Source organism: Homo sapiens, chromosome 2 (assembly GCF_000001405.40).
Source record: "Homo sapiens chromosome 2, GRCh38.p14 Primary Assembly".
In the NCBI taxonomy this organism is placed as follows: domain Eukaryota; kingdom Metazoa; phylum Chordata; class Mammalia; order Primates; family Hominidae; genus Homo; species Homo sapiens.
Genome location: NC_000002.12, coordinates 182,717,616 through 182,734,824, shown reverse-complemented (window position 1 = coordinate 182,734,824; position 17,209 = coordinate 182,717,616). Strand labels below are relative to the sequence as shown.

Sequence of the window (17,209 nt, the reverse complement as noted above, 5' to 3'; positions counted from 1 at the left end):
GGAGATAAAGAGGGTTATTTCATCAGGTTAGAGATTCAAATCACCAAGAAAACATACAATTCTAAATTAATATCCATCTAATAACAAAGCATCAAAATAGATAATAAAAATTGACAGAAACAAAGGAAATAGAAATATCCACAAAGTAGTGGAGGATATTAAGACACTCTCTCAGTTATTGATAGAATAGGCAGACAATAAAATTATTAAGATCTAGAGGATCTGATTAACATAGCTAACAAATTGGACCCAACTGATTTTATAGAAATGTGTACCTGTGAATTACAGGATTCATTTTCAAATGCATATGAAACATTTATAAAAATTTACCATATGTTGGGCCATGAAACAAGGCTTAACAACTTAAAAAAACTGATTCCATGTTCATTATCCACAGTAGAATCAAGCTAGCCAAAAATAACAAAATTACTTTTAAAAATAACCTTTATGATTAGGAACAAAAAATATAGAATCTGTGATTCAAAGAGAAATAAAAATCAAGATTAAAAAATATTTTAAACTGATAATCAAAATACTATATATATATATCAAAATAGAAGATGTATCTAAAGCTGTAGTCACTAATTTATAATCTAAATTCATATATTAGAAAGGAAAGCCTAAGATCAATGAACTAATCATTCAAGAACAGCAAATTAAATCATAAAAAAGTAGAGGGAAGGAAATATAGTGCTTAAGTCAATGAAATCAAGAAACTGGCAGTAAAAAAAAAAAAATCAATAAAGCTGAAACTTGAGACTTTGAAAAGACTTATAAAGGTTAAGAAACCTCTCCTTGGACAGAATAAGAATAAAAACAGACATGAGACACACACACAAAATATGATCAGAAAGTAAGAAAGAACATCACTATAGATACTACAGATATAAAAAAATAGGATATTATGTACAATTTTATAGCAATACATTTACACATTTGCTTCAAAGAACGAAGTCTTAGAAAAACAGAATTTACCAAATAGAGGAAGTAGAAAATCTATCTATCTATCTATCTATCTATCTATCTATCTATCTATCTATCTGAGAGAGATTGGAGAAAAGTCTATAAATATGGATTCAAAGACAACTTCAGGCCCAGATGGTTTTCTGATAAATTCTACCAAAAAAAAAAAAAAATTGAGAAAGAAATAACAACAGTTGTACAGAAACTGTTTCCAAAGAAGAGAAAAAGAGATAATACTTTCCAACACATTTAAAGGCCAGCCTAACTTTGATGCTAAAAGTGCACAGACTTTACTGGAAAGGAAAAATATAGGCCAATCACTCTGATCACCAAATATTAAAAAAAAAATAAAGATACTAATGCTCAGTCCTCACCCTCGAATATTTTGATTTAATTGGTCTGGGGGACATGGTTTTGTTTTTTTATTATTTTTAAAAGCTCCTCAGGTGATTTTAATGTGTAGTGCTGAAAAACTAAAGGCCTAGGCATAGGGTGAAATAAGAAAGGGAATGAAACAAAAGCATACTAAGTTAGTGATTTTAATATCAAATAAAACAGAATTTGTGTAAACAAATCCATAATGCACAAAGAGAAATAAATAGCCGCCAAAGGATATAATGATCATACTGCTGCCAACAATATAATGTCAAAATATGTAAAGGAAGAACTGACAGAAATATAAGAAATAGATAAATCAATGATGGATGGTAGAGATTTTAATACATCCCTCTTAGAAATTATAGATCATGTAGTCCAAAAACAAATAACATGATTAATAAATCTGATCTAATAAATGTAATACTACACCTAACATATATTACACCTAACATAACATTATTATATTCAAGCTCACAAAGAATTTCCAAAATTTTCAAAACTGACAATTTGTGTGGCTTTGTCAAGCCACAAAGCCACAAAGGGTATTTCAATGGTGTTAAAAAATCAACATCACTCAGGCTACTTCCCAGCCATAACATGAGAGCTATATACATTTAAAAATGACTAAAAAAGAAAACAACAAAAGATAAAGTTGGGAAATGACAAAAACACTAACATGTAACTTCAGTTGAAGAGGAACTTATAAATTACAGAATACTTACAAAGTAAATGACACTTAGAATTGATACCACGTTAAAATTTATTGAACGTAACTAATTATTCAGGAAAAAACACATAGCTATGAATACAGTCATCAGAAAATAAGATTACAAATAGGTGAGTTAAATGTTCAAGAAATAAGGGAAGAAAATGTTTCAAATCAATTTCTAAATGTGTTTCTTTACATGGTGATATAGTTTTACAAAATGATTGATGCTTACCAACATGCCACTAAGCCTGAGTCGTGTCTGTGAAGTCAAACAATCTGGGGACAAAAAAACCTTATGAGGCAGTTTTACCTTTATTAAGCCTGATGAAAATACTTGCATTTGCCTTTCCCCCAAATTACCATGTTCATTCGAAGGCAATTAATTGAGCTGGACTCTATTGATAGATATGGAAATCCTTCTACACACACACACATACAAACACACACACAAAAACACACACACACTCCCTCGCTCCCTCTTTCTTTCATTCTCTCCCTTTAATTTCTAGGATGTCTAGCTACAGAGAAAAAGTAATTTTCTCTCTTTAGGTTAATACTCTCAATCTCTCCTCCTATCAACAATCCATTTTATCCAAGAGATCTCAAAATTGGGGGGAAATAAAATGTAATAGATATTTGATAGAAGTATATAAAGGATCCTCAAAATACAATAAAATCTTTAAATAGTGCCTTCACTATTTTTATGAAAGTTCTGCAAATATGAACACTAGAATACAATGAGAGAAGATTTAGAAGAAAGAGAGCTATAGCATCACAGAGCCTACAAAGACAGGGAGAAGCAATTTACTTGAGGTGAGAAGTAAAAGAATCTCAGAGAATGTAAGAACTTTTGTTCATGTGTGGATGAACAGAAATTTGGGCAATAGGCCAAAATGAGACAAAATCCCTTGGTGATTAGTTAAGTTTAAGGCTGACGTTTTGCTGCAAGGCAGTGTCTTTCTAGCATAGGCCTTACAGGATGGGGTAATGGGTTGATTTTAGTTACAAGGCAGTACCTTTTCAATATAGCAGCATGAAGGCTGAGAGATGAAATGTGGGGAGAAGACTCATGTTGGGATTAAATACATGCAAATACATTGAGTTATAATATTTTGTTGTCTTAGAACAATTTTTAACCAACCACATTGCTTGAACACAGTTTACAGTTTACGGCTTGCTATGCAGAGTACTGAATTTTCAACTTAATTTATTCAAGGAAAGGTTCCTAGAAGAAGCTGTCATCTTCAAGTATATAATTGTATGAGGCAAATCTATGTATGTTTGAGAGATATATATAAGCATGAAGCAAAGTCCATATTTCCAAAAAATTATTATTTTGGGAGGGGTTAGAGCTGTAAACAACTAGTTATTTTTGCAAATTGTCAAATAACATCTGTGGCTATCTGAAGGTACAATTTATCATGAGTCTAAGCTGAAAAACTGGTCCACTGAACATAAAAACATAGAGGATACATTAAAAAATGAATAATAACCTCATGTGTAAAATAATGAAAAAGGCGAATATTCATTAAGTAAAAAAATTGTAATCCTGGGCATAAATTGTAGTTTCTAGTACTTAATAATCAATTACAGTAGCATACTTAAAACTGTCACCAAAAATTTAAATGTCATGTTCTCATTCCAACAAAATTAAAAAATAGTATTACCTCCTCCTTTTGAACAAAAAGTGATCAGCCAGCCAATACCAGCAGCAAAAGCAGTTTGTATGGAGTTGACAAAATTTCCTTAAAAATAAAAGAAAAAAAGCAAATTCTGATCACCTATTACTCCTTTACTAATGGAAACAGTCTTCTAAGTAATTTTTCCTTTCTAATCTCACCCTCTTCTAATCCACTCTGAGTTTTACCAGTTATCTTTCCAAAGATACTCTTGAGTATGACAAATTCCTTCAATGGCTCTCCAATTTTTTCATCATATAAAACCTAAATTCATTATTTCATTAAGAAAAAAACTCAAATTGGCAAGTTAGGCCCCTGTGACTTGAGCTTTGCCTACCTATTTAGCCAGCTATATTATATTTCCCCACACCACTTGACCCAATTATTGATCTTTTTGTCAGATTCATGAAGTATTGCCAGTTCCCCAAATACACAGTGATCTCCTAAGGCTTCCTATTCATTTTCATGACAGATTGGATATGACTTCTTTCAAGAAGTATTTTCTAACTCTTTCTCTTTTCCCCAACTGGGTTGTTTTACACATCTTATGCTCCCTTAAGCTCTATAATAATAGTACCTATATTGCATTTTAATTGTTTACTAATGTTTTCCTCACTAATGAAGTCACTGATGGCAGGGACTATATATTTTATTACTGCAGCCCCACTATTTAATAGTTTCTGACACGTAACTTTACTCAATGAATAAAATGAACATCTTGAGCCACAAATACTATTATTAGCTTAATCTGCCTAAAGGCAGTTAATGAGTTAAAAGCCTAAGATTAGAAGCATTTTTAAACTTTAAAATTAAACAGAATAGGTTTGAATTTACTGATTGATAAGCATATTTAAAAAAGCAATAAAACACTTGTATTACAAAACATTTTTTGCACTTTGAGAGATGCCTTTTTTACCGTAGCCCTATCTCATATCCATTTCCCATATCTCGATAGTTCAAGTTTCTGTAAAAATTTAACTAGTTTGTTAAATTCAGCAGAGTTCAGAGTAAATGACACAATTCCCTTCTAAGAAACATGGAAAAGACACTTTAAAATTTCAATACCATGACCAAAATGTTAATATTGCCATTAAAAACAAAATACTGATTTCAAAATACCCTGAAAATCAAGCAAATTAAGAAAATAAAATTACCTGTCCAAAGTTCTGTCACTGTACTTCTAACATGCTGCATTGCAAAACTCACTAAACTCTCCTTTGATCTGTCTCCATGATATTTCACTGGGGCCTATTGGTTTTTGTAAGAAGAGAAACATCTTTTACTTTTTCTTTTTAAAACTCAATAAAAATAATACCAAAGAGTTTGATTTTTACATTATCTTGAATAATGCAGCAAAGCTCTATTTCTCAATAGCAGAATGTATTTCCAAATGATATCCTGATAATCTTGACAGTACAGATTCTATGGAACACATTTTAATAATACCATTTATAATCGTTCAGGTTCCTCACTGGAAACTAAGAAAAAAGATATCAGAGCTTTACATTCAATGAGACAACACTTGTAAAATACTTTGTAAACTACCAAATACAATATACATATTGTATAAATTATGTTCCTTAAGACAGAAACTGAAATTGGCAAACATTTAATTTTAAAATATAGCAAAGTCAATGGTGTTTTTTTTGCCAGGCACTGTGGCTCACGCCTGTAATCCCAGCACTGTGGGAGGCTGAGGTGGGCAGATCACCTAAGGTCAGGAGTTCAAGACCAGCCTGGCCAACATGGCGAAACCCCGTCTCTACTAAAAATACAAAAATTAGCCAGACATGGGAGCGGGTGCCTGTAGTCCCAGCTACTCGGGAGGCTGAGGCAGGAGAACTGCTTGAGCCCAGGAGGCAGAGGTTGCAGTGAGCCGAGACTGCACCCTTGCACTCCAGCCTGGGCAACAGAGTGAGACTCCATCTCAAAAAAAAAAATTCATAATCCAAAATGTTTATTATTACAGAAGACTAGTGAGATGGCACCTTGTAAAACAAGACTTAAAATGTTCTGCAAATTCTACATACTGTTATTTTCTCTACTATTTAACTTGTCATAATGTTTCACAAATTTAAAAAATGCTAACTTTATCCCTTACCATTCCAGACCGAAAAATGAAGAGGCTGGGATAGCTGTTGACTCCTTTCATTCGGCAAAGCATTCTATCATCACCACAGTTAACAGCTCCAATTCGAAGTAACCCATCCACTTCTTTAGCAAAGTCTCTCCACTATGACAGAAAAAGAAAACATATTTCTCTGATAAGACCACTTTTCTTCCCTTGAACACACTCCAAGCTATATATTTTTAAACCAGACATTTAAAGTATTTGATAATTATTTTTGATTACTATTCATAGAAAAAAAAATTCTAACATATAAATTGCAGATCAATTAGAAATAAAACTAGTAATGAGGATGTGAAAAATACATACTGTGGGAGCTAAATCATGGCAGTGTGAACAGCCTGGGGAGTAAAAATTTACAAACCACAGTTCTCCAGAATTAACAGCAGCATCTAAAAATACATAAAATGCAAACAACTTAGAATTATTTATTAAAGGTTCATGCATATTTTAGTTAAAAACTTTTTGTGGAGATCAGAATTTTAAAAAGTCATGCAATTTTCATATTGTCTTTCTCATTTTCTGTGTGATGTTTTTCTATATCTTCTACATAAATGACATTTTTAAAAAATTAAAAATTTTTTTTCCACAAGAAACATTTCAAATGTCAAACCAACAATAGCTTTTTAAAAAAACTCTCCTACGCCCATACTTGAAAAAGAAGCAGCCTCAAACTGCAAGATAAATATGGCCATAAAGTTGTAAAAAGTGACGGCACAAGAAATAGCAGCCAAACCTCACGTAAGAGTTTGTGTGCATGAGAGAAATAAAGAAGACAAATAGTAAGAGTGACTGAGATTTAAGCTCTTCTATTACATGCAGCACAGGTTAAGTAGGTTTAGTCAATTCTGACAGCTACTGTAAACTCTGAAAGAATAAAATAAGAGACCTACATAATACAGTAAGGATTGCGGGGATTAAATTTAATCTAAGCCCTAAACAAGACATTACCTTGGAAAATCATTTTGTTTGAAAAGGTTGAGGTTTTTAACAATTCAAAACATTAATACATATTTGCTAAAATTACAGATTTGAACAACATATAATATCTAGCCAATAGTACATTTTATATTTTATCTGTAAAATGACCTGATGCAAATTACAAATTTTACTCACTTAAAAAATTTAACATTGTAAAAATGTGCTTTCACATTCAAGATAAAAAGGCGAGGTTAATCTGCTTTTGGTTAAAGGATTTCCATATAATTCCATGTTAAAATTTATTATTTTAAAATAAAAATTTCAGAAATTACAGTAAGACATTAAATCACACATGGTATTCTAAATACGTGCAACTAATTCAGGCTAATTAGAAACAGGTGCAGGACTCAGTGTTCACCTACATTTCAAGTATAAGACAGACCTGTGGGAAAACAGTTAATCTACACATTACAGGCAAAGTGTGTAATTCAGGACTATGGGCTGTTCTTTGGCAATGTTTTCAAAGTCTGGCAAATGACCATTCTATAGAGGTGGTCGAAAAAATTGCCATATTGGTTTAGACCACAAACCAGTACAAATTTAGGTAAAAATATTAACAGAATTAATGCAAACTTTAATGAAAGAAGGGATTATCTTATCAGCTATAAACAAGTAATGAGGTAGTTATTTTTATATAAAAATAGAAAGCAATAATTACACAAGGTATTACTGTTCATAAGTCTTAAATAAAAATATGCTGTAAAACAAATTTGAATGGTATTTGACACAAAACCTTTCTTGTAGTAAAAATGTCTCCTACCCTGGTAACAGGCATACCTCAGATATTGTGGGTTTGTTTCCAAATCACAACATAGCAAGTATCACTATAAAGGAGTCACACAAATTTTCTGGTTTTCCAGTGCATATAAAAGTTATATTTACACTATATACAGTGTATTATGTAATAGCATTATGTCTAAAAAAAAAAAACAAACAAAACAATGTACATACCTTAATTAGAAAATAGGCTGGGCGCAGTGGCTCATGCTTGTCATCTAGCCTTTTGGGAGGCTGAGACAGGAGGATCACTTGAGCCCAGGAGTTTGAGACCAGCCTGGGAAACACAGCAAGACCCTGTCTCTATAAAAATAGCTGGACATGGTGGCACATGCCCGCAGTCTCAGCTAGTCGGGAGACTGAGGCAGCAGGATTGCTTGAGCCCAGGAGTTCAAGGCTGTGATGAGCTATGATCCTGCTGCTGCACTCTCCAGGTGGGGTGACAAACCAACCAAGGAACAAAAAATAACTTTATTGGTAAAAAATGCTAACAGTCATTTCAGCCTTTCAGCAAGTCATGCATGTCGTGATGTTGATGGGTGCTGACTGATCAGGGTGGTGGTTGTGTAAGGTTGGGGTGGCTGTGGCAATTTCTTAAAATGAGATGACAATGAAGTTTGCCACACTGATTGATGTCTCCTTTCCTGAAAGATTTTCTCTGAAGCGTGAAATGCTGTTTGATGGCATCTGACCCACAGTAGAACTTCTTTCAAAATTGGAGTCAAAACTGGCCTCAAACCCTGCTGCTGTTTTATCAACCAAGTTTATGTAATATTCTAAATCCTTTGTTGTCATATCAACATTGTTTACAGGATCTTCACCAGGAGTAGGTTCCATCTCAGGAAATCACTTTCTCTGCTCATCCATAAGGAACAACTCCTCACCGCCCCATGGTGAGATTATTATAATGAGATAATTATATTATAATGAGATCATTATAATGAGATTGCAGCAATTCAGTCACATAATCAGGCTCCACTTCTAATTCCAGTTCTCTTGCTATTTCTATCACATCTACAGTTACATCCTCCATTGAAGCCTTGAACACCTCAAAGTCATCCATGAAGGTTGGAATGAACTTCTTCCCAACTCCTGTAACACTGATATTTTGACCTCCTTCCATGAATCACAGATGTTCTTAATGACACTAGAATGGTGACTCCTTTCCAGAAGGTTTCCAATTTACTTTGCCTGGATCCATCAGAGGAATCACTACCTATGGCAGGTAGAGCCTTATGAAATGTATTTCTTAGATAATATGACTTGAAGTTGAAATTACTCCTTGATTTACGGGCTGCAGAATGGATATGGTGTTAGCAGGCATGAAAAAAAAGTCCCAGATAGCATCTTCTTCCAATGGAAGGCTGTCTCATTAACATTGAGAATTTGTTGTTTAGTATAGCCACCTTCATCAATGATCTTAGCTAGATCTTCTGGAAAACTTGCTGCAGCTTCTATGTCGGGACTTGCTGCTTCATCTTGTATTTTGATGTTATGGAGATGGCTGTTTTCTTTAAACCTCATGAACCAACCTTTTCTAGCTTCAAACTTTTTTCTGCAGCTTCTTCATCTCTCTAAGCCTCCATAAAATTGAAAAGAATTAGGGTCTTTCTCTGGTTAGGCTTTCGCTAAGGGGATGTTGTAGATAATTTGATCTACCCAGACCACTAAGACATTCTCTATGTTAGCAGTATGGCTGTTTTGTGTTATCATTAGTGTGTTCACTGGAGTAGCACGTTTACTTTCCATGAAGAACTTTTCCTTTGCATTTATAATTTAACTAGCAAAAGAGGTCTACCTTTTAGCCTGTCTTGGGTTTTGATATGCCTCCCTCACTAAGCTTAATCATTTCTAGCTTCTGATTTAAAATGAGAGATGTGCATCTCTTCCACTTCAACACTTAAGAGGTCACTGTAGTTATTAATTGGCTTAATTTCAGTAATGTTGTATCTCAGGGAGTAGGGAGGCCCAAGAAGTGGGAGAGAAAAGGGAGAAGGAAGAGGGAGCAGTCAGAATAGACACAAAAATTAAGTATGCCATCCTATGGGCACACTCCAAAATGATTACAATAGTAACATCAAAGATCACTGACTGTAGATCACTGTAACAGACAGAATAATAATGAAAAAGTTTGGATACCAAAATGTGAGAAAGAGACATGAAATGAGCACATGCTATTGGAAACACGTTCAGCTGATAGACTCGCTTGATGTAGGGTTGCTAAAAACCTTCAATTTGTTAAGGAAAAAAAAGTGCATTATCTATGAAGTGCAATAAATCAAAGTGTAATAAAATGAGGTACACCTGTACTTTGTCTTCATCGAGCACTTCTCATATTTGCCAAGTTCCCACTGATTGCTGAGTAATAAGAATAAAGTTAAAATATTTTAAATACTGTATCATCACAGCTCAATGGGATGTTGTGCCTAACAGTGACCCAGAATAGAATTATTACATTTCAAAATGCAACTTTCCACTTCTAAACTATACAACTACAGCTACTGTCTGTTAATATACATACAACTCCAGTTAACAGCTTCTATTAGCAAAGTAAAATGTAATTACTTTGCCTGTAAGGTACAGATTAACTTTTTCCCCACAGGTCTATCTTATACTTGAAATGTAGGTGAACACTGAGTCCTGTACCTGTTTCTAATTAGCCTGAATTAGTTGCACGTATTTAGAATACCATGCATGTTTTAATGTCTTACTGTAATTTCTGAAATTTTTATTTTAAAATATTAACTAATTTTAACATGGAATCATATGGAAATCCTTTAACCAAAAGCAGATTACCCTCGCCTTTTTATCTTGAATGTGAAAGCACATTTTTACAATGTTAAATTTTTTAAGTGAGTAAAATTTGTAATTTGCATCAGGTCATTTTACAGATAAAATATAAACTGCACTATTGGCTAGATATCACATGTTCAAATCTATAATTTTAGCAAGTATGTATTAATGTTTTGAATTGTTAAAAAAAAGTCAATCTTTTCAAATAAAGTGATTTTCCAAGGTAATGTCTTATTTAGGGCTTATATTAAATTTAATCCCCGCAATCCTTACTGTATTATGTAGGTCTCTTATTTTATTCTTTCAGAGTTTACAGTAGCTGTCAGAATTGATTAAACCTACTTAACCTATGCTGCATATAATAGAAGAGCTTAGAAGGCATTTGCTTGTTGACTTTCTAGAGAGCCAGAAATGATAACATCTGCTTAGCAGAAAAATGCCTGGGAAAGCTTCACTAGAGGGTCCTTCTCTATCACAACAATGCTCCTGCTCATTCCTCTCATCAAGCAAGGTTAATTATTTATGAATTATCTCTGAAGTTTTGTGGCTGCAATTTATCTTGAACTACCATTTGGGGTTCTATATGAACTATTAACAGTTCTTAAGCTTTTCTGCATAGTGACACATCTGAAAAAGTGTGAACCCATATACAATATAACTATCAGTGAAGTCTCATTCTAGGTAGACTCATGGATTAGTAAGCTTGCAAGTTTTGTTCAGTTCCTCTATCTGTAATTCCGATGTTTTCTGAACCATTGGTACACAAAACACTTACTGATATATTAGGAGATGAGAGACAATAAAAACCACACAGGAACAGCTATAGGTTTATATAACTCACACGAGAGTTATGATTCTACCAGCTTGTGACATGAGCATTAATTCTATTAACAATCCAAATGAATCAAATTGTCTTATTTGCAGAACACAGGAAAGATGTATTTTCTATTCACTTAGAACATGTTCAAGTGTTCACCTAGAAGGCTTTTAACAAAGTAACACATTGAACAGCTATTTTGTATGTGAAGCTCACCAGCATGATGTAGAAAATAAGATTAAAATGCCACCCTTGGCCAGATGTGGTGGCTCATGCCTGTAATCCTGGCACTTTGGGAGGCCAACGTGGGTGGATCGCCTGAGGTCAGGAGTTCGAGATCAGCCTGGCCAACATGGTGAAATCCTGTCTCTACTAAAAATACAAATACAAAAATTAACTGGGTGTGGTAGCGGGCACCTGTAATCCCAGCTATTCAGAAGGCTGAGGCAGGAGAATCGCTTGAACCCAGGGGGCAGAGGTTGCAGTGAGCCAAGATCGTGCCACTGCACACTGGTCTGGGTGACAAAGCAAGACTCCGTCTCAAAAAAAAAAAAAAAAAAAAGCCACCCTTGCTTAGAAGGAACAAACTGTATAAAATCAAGTAGCTGTAATAAATTTTTAACGATAATATATGAAAAACATATAGATTTATATGTATTTTTTGCGACTGGTACGCTATTTTAGTTTTCTTTTTTTTTGTGGTGCCATCATGGCTCACTGCAATATCAGCCTCCCAGATTCACGCGATTCTTGTGCGTCAGCCTCCCAAGTAGCTGGGATTACAGGTGCGTGCCACCAGGCACACCTAATTTTTGTATTTTTAGTAGAGAGGGTTTTCCCCATGTTGGCCAGGCTGGTTTCTAACTCCTGATCTCAAGCGATCTGCCTGCCTTGGCCTCCCAAAGTGCTGGGATTATACAGGTGTGAGCCACCGCGCCTGGCTGTATTTTAGTTTTCTAAATTAAATACAATTGTGATAGAGCAATATAAAATTGAAATTTGATTTGAAGTTTAATTTATTGCTCTGAAATAGAAAAAATAAACCTATTATTACTGTACAAAGGATGAAAGTATAAGAATCTATTCTGGTATACAATTTTCTAAAATGCAATGGAAAATGCAGAACTGTATTTTTATGGCCATTTTCACACAAAGTTGCCAATCAAATTAAATCTACTTCCAAAATAACTATACCTTTATCCAAAACTCTAAAATCAAAAAGCTCTGAGAAGTTTTGCTGTAAGTTTGCAGCAAGCTCACTTGGCATCCAAACCTGATCTGAACTGATTTTTAAATTTCTTTTATTTAGTATATATACTTACACATTTTGCTACATAAATATTAATGTTTTTATTATGGTACACTTCCCCACATTCTGCTAGAAATATTTAAGATACAGTATATTACATTATTACTGTTCGAAACTCCAAAAGATTTCTAAATTTCAAACATATATATCCCCTAGAGTTTTAGATGAGATCGAACTTGTATTAGTTTTATAAAACCTTAAGCCCACAAACTTACCAAATTCTCTTCTTTCCAATGTTATGATTTCAGGATCATCATCATAAATACCTAATTTTAAAAGTATATAAAAATTATAAAATCAAAACTTCACCATATAAATTGCAACATAAAAATAGATTACTCGTTTTAATCATCAAAAAAATCAAACTACTATATTATATCTCAAACTTAGAGAATATGCAACATCCTAAGTGAAAAAAAAGTAAATAATACTATCAGTACATTTAGGGTGATCTAAAGATATTAGAATTCTGATATGGACTCTCATAGATGTGTATGCGGTAGTTCGTAATATTCACATAATTTTACCTCCATATAAAATTTATATTATGGTTTTAAAAATAATTACAGATTCAGGAAGGTGCAAAAATATAGACTCTTGTATACTTTTTACTCACCTTCCTCTAATGGTGACATGTTATGTAGCTATATAGCACAATATCGAAAACCAGGAAATTGAGAGTGGTACACTGTTAACTAGACTACAGACCTCATTTGATTTTCAGATTATATGGTTTTTAACACATGGTATCATGTTAGAATATCTTCTGCTAAAAAGCTTAGAGTATTTGCAGAGGCAGACACAAATATTTAGTAAATATACATTTTTTAGGCTTTGTGGGATGTATGGCTTCTATCACAACTTCTCAACTCTGCTCTTGAAGTGTGAAAGAAGTCACATATATTATGTAAACAAATTAAAGTAATTCCATTCCAATAAAACTTATTTATAAAAGCAAATGGCAAGCCAGATTTGGCCTATGAAATGCAGTCTGCTAACTCTTGATATAGACTATCAAGGTGTAGAGAATATACTTGAAAATACTATTTTGAAAAAAAATCATATTTACTAAAAGCAAATCCTCCAGATATAAATTTAAAATACTTCATTTAGTCTAATACAGAAGCATATTCAGTTCTTAGCCTGCATTTGAGGTTAATTAATGACTAGGAGAAACACTGGGTCTCTGAACACACCTTCCTCCCTTGATACCTGTGTGTTTACAATCTCTCTTCCTTAGTTCCTTTACTTTGTTTCCTCCTTCCACCTTATTTTTTCCTCCATGTTTAAGAAAAAAAACACCTTTCGTCCTTCTCATATGGAACCTTTATTGATAATGTTTCAAGGTATTGACCTTAATGTCAACCGAAGGCCAAAACACCTTAAAAATCAGTAAGGGTTCCATATGAGAAGGACGGCATTTCTATTGAAGAGATCATTACTAAACTTGAAGTTTCGCCTTTCTTGGACAATATGATGCTCTAAAATATATTGAAAGAAATTAATATTATTCAATACTAAAAAATACTGAAAGAAATATTTAGCTACCCCTAATGCAAACATATAGTCATACATCACTTACTAATGGGACACATTCTGAGAAATGTGTTGTTAGGGAATTTTGTTGTTGCAAAAACATCACAGAGTGTACTTACACAAACCTAGATAGTATAGCTTACTACACACCTAGTCTACAAATCTGTACAGCATGTTACTGCTGAATACCATAGGCAACTGTAACACAATGCTAAGTATCTTTGTATTTAAATATAGAAAAGGTACAGTAAAAATATGGTATTATAATTTCATGGGACCAATGTCCTACATACAATCCATTGTTAAGTGAAATGTCATTATGCAGTCCATGAATGCATATTTTTTATTAAATAGCAATCCTTATTTTAAAAGTATTTAACAAGATTTAACCAATACAACTTCATATCTGTACAGATCATCTCTGTATACCAACTGACATTCCTTTTAAATTTCACTCCCACAGCAAATTAAAAGGAGCTAATCAAAGTGACGCATCTTAAATATATAAGCTAAGTGGTGAAACAGAATTCACTTTTCTTTTACTCAGATAAAACACATTTCATAAGTAATATCGTATCACCTTACCAAAATCATAACGATAATAGTTCCAGCTTTCATACTGGCCACCTTGATTATCCTCAAGTCCCTTTTCTCCATATTTGTCATACTTTTTCCGTAGATCTTCATCTTTGAGTACTTCATATGCTCTATTTATTTTTAAAAAATCGCCATGTGCATTTGGGTTATTCTGTTAAAAAATATTAGATATAATACAATTATTTCAGATACACAATCCAAGTTTCTTCAAAACATATATGTAGGTTTAATTAATCTAGTAACTTCTGGGAGACCATATACCAACATAAGGAGGGGTAATACAACATGACATGAGTTACCATGGGTTGAAATGAAGTATTTTTTAAGAAACTATAATCTTCAAAAAAAAAAAAAAAAAAGTAAGAAAAGTAATGAAATAATTGACTCTTCAAAAGGTTGACAGACGTTATCAGACCATGAGTTATTCTTCCTAAAAAATGCAGCTGAAAATAATAAGCCTGTTGAAACTCTTAATTTCATAAATATTTTTTACTCCTATAACAATTATAAATCAATACATTTGTAGGTTATTTTTCTATTTGAGGTAAAATCAACTTAATTAAAAAAGGATGTGCCCCAATCTATCAGCTAATTACATAAAAGCCAGTATCAGAAAACACCCCAAAATCGATCCCAGTACTTTGGGAGACTGAGGAGGGTGGATCATTTGAGGTCAGGAGATCGAGACCAGCCTGGCCAACATGGTGAAGCCCCGTTTCTACTAAAAACACAAAAACTAGCTGGGCAGTAGTGACGCACGCCTGTAATCCCAGCTACTCAGGAGGGTGAGGCAGGGGAATTGCTTAAGCCTGTGATGCAGAAGTTGCAGGAAGCCGCTGGCGTCACTGCACTCCAGTCTGGGCAAGAGAGTGAGACCCTATCTCAAAAAAAAAAAAAAAAAAAAAAAGAAAACAATCCAAAATTGGATCGGAAATGTTTCTTCCTTGTTACTGTGCTTCATAAAATTTGTTTCTGAAGGATGCTTTCATTTAAATAATACTCGGATGGTAGAAGGTCTACTGTCTTTTATATGGAAACTTAAAAATCATTATTTGAAATTTTAAAGAAAAATTAAAAAAAAATAAAAACCTTAAATAGAATGTGGATCTTAGGAAAAGATAATCAACTAAACAATATTTAAAGAAATATTGTTTCTCTTGCTCAGCTTTATGCAATGAAAATAATCCTATTTTAAAACTTCTACCTAGAAAAGAGAAAATTATAACTATGTCTTCTTGTTAATGATGAACGCTAAATCTCACTAAGAAATAATCAAATAAATTACAAAAACACCATAAAAATTAAAATGAGTTTAGTTTTGAAAGATTTACATTAATGTGTACATAAATATTTATGACTGGCATTATATTCAGCTGCTGTGAAGTATTAATTTATAAAACTTTCTAACTCTGGTTTGTGGACTTGTGCATACACAGAAGAAAACAGTCAAAGTTAAAACATGCTATTATTAGCTATTACTTCTATTTTTAGCAAGTCATACCCTCTGAGTTTTAAAAAAATATTTTTGTTCCTGTTCTAAAACACTTGATCTTAACCTACTTTAATAAGAAAACTACTTCAACTACTTCACGGATATTATCGTTTGTTTTGGGGTTAATGTCTTTAATAGAATTGTTGGAAAATCGTCTACAAATTAAGAGGGAACTGAATTTTTGGTACTGACATTCCTTCACGGGATCCTAAATAATCCAGAACATTTTGGTGCTTTTGTTTCTAGCATACAAGTTGAATTATAATTTTGACATATGATTATTCTTAAGCATTTGATCATTTAAAGCAATTTAAATAAATATCAAAATGTACCAAAAATATAATCAAATATTTTTAAAAACAAACGTTTACCTACCGGGTTTTTATCAGGATGTAACTTCAATGCCAATTTCTTGAAAGCTTGTCTTATTTCTCTACTGCTTGCAGTTTTGGACACTCCAAGTAAACTGTAAAAATCCTGATCTGTGCCCACTAAAATGGCCATATACACTATCAGAAAACAGAGAATGATCCTTTTCAAGTCTCTGATATAGTCATCTTTATTTAACCAGACTCCCATTCTCTTTCTTATGCAAGTTCTGATTTAAGTGAACATTAAGATTCACTGCTGGTTCCAGTTGATGTAATATGCAAATTTGAGAACTTCTGTCTACATTACTTCAAGGGTGAATCAAGCATCACAAATCTGTCCCCAAAAATATTAATCTAAGAAAGAAAAGCAGGCAGTTAAAATACATTTTGAACTAAACAATAATAGCACAATTTATTTATCACAGAACATGGTCAGCAATACAATCTCCATTAAATGGCAAATCAGTGTGAATGCCCCAGGTTCTATTTTTCACTCTTTCTACATCCATGTAGCTAGATTTGTGAAATCACTGAAGATAGCAGAAAAAAGGTCATGAGTGGTAGTAAGTAGCTTGCACACACACCCTCAGCAATTTATACACTGAGAAAAGACCTCTGACGAGCATCAGAACACAAAGGTGGCAATGAGCTACAGGTGCTTCCTCTTTCTACCCAGTTA

At 33.2% G+C, this 17,209-nt stretch overlaps 1 protein-coding gene across 5 annotated transcripts in view; it reads right to left on the bottom strand.

The window, feature by feature from the left end:
- Positions 1-17,209, bottom strand: part of DNAJC10 (DnaJ heat shock protein family (Hsp40) member C10) — a 78,208-nt gene that overhangs the window by 59,640 nt on the left and 1,359 nt on the right. For 4 of the 5 annotated variants that reach the window (NR_073366.2, NR_073365.2, NM_018981.4 and 1 more), the window contains exons 3-10: positions 16,535-16,884; positions 14,656-14,818; positions 12,750-12,800; positions 6,167-6,249; positions 5,831-5,962; positions 4,884-4,977; positions 3,718-3,795; positions 2,283-2,326 (exon numbers count right to left, since the gene is read on the bottom strand). Coding sequence is in view for 2 of the 5 variants with exons in the window: in NM_018981.4 (NP_061854.1) it covers positions 2,283-2,326; positions 3,718-3,795; positions 4,884-4,977; positions 5,831-5,962; positions 6,167-6,249; positions 12,750-12,800; positions 14,656-14,818; positions 16,535-16,738 (849 nt within the window). In the remaining 3 variants the exon portion in view is untranslated. The remainder of the gene's footprint in view (positions 1-2,282; positions 2,327-3,717; positions 3,796-4,883; positions 4,978-5,830; positions 5,963-6,166; positions 6,250-12,749; positions 12,801-14,655; positions 14,819-16,534; positions 16,885-17,209) is intronic. The other variant, NR_073367.2, reaches the window with a different exon arrangement.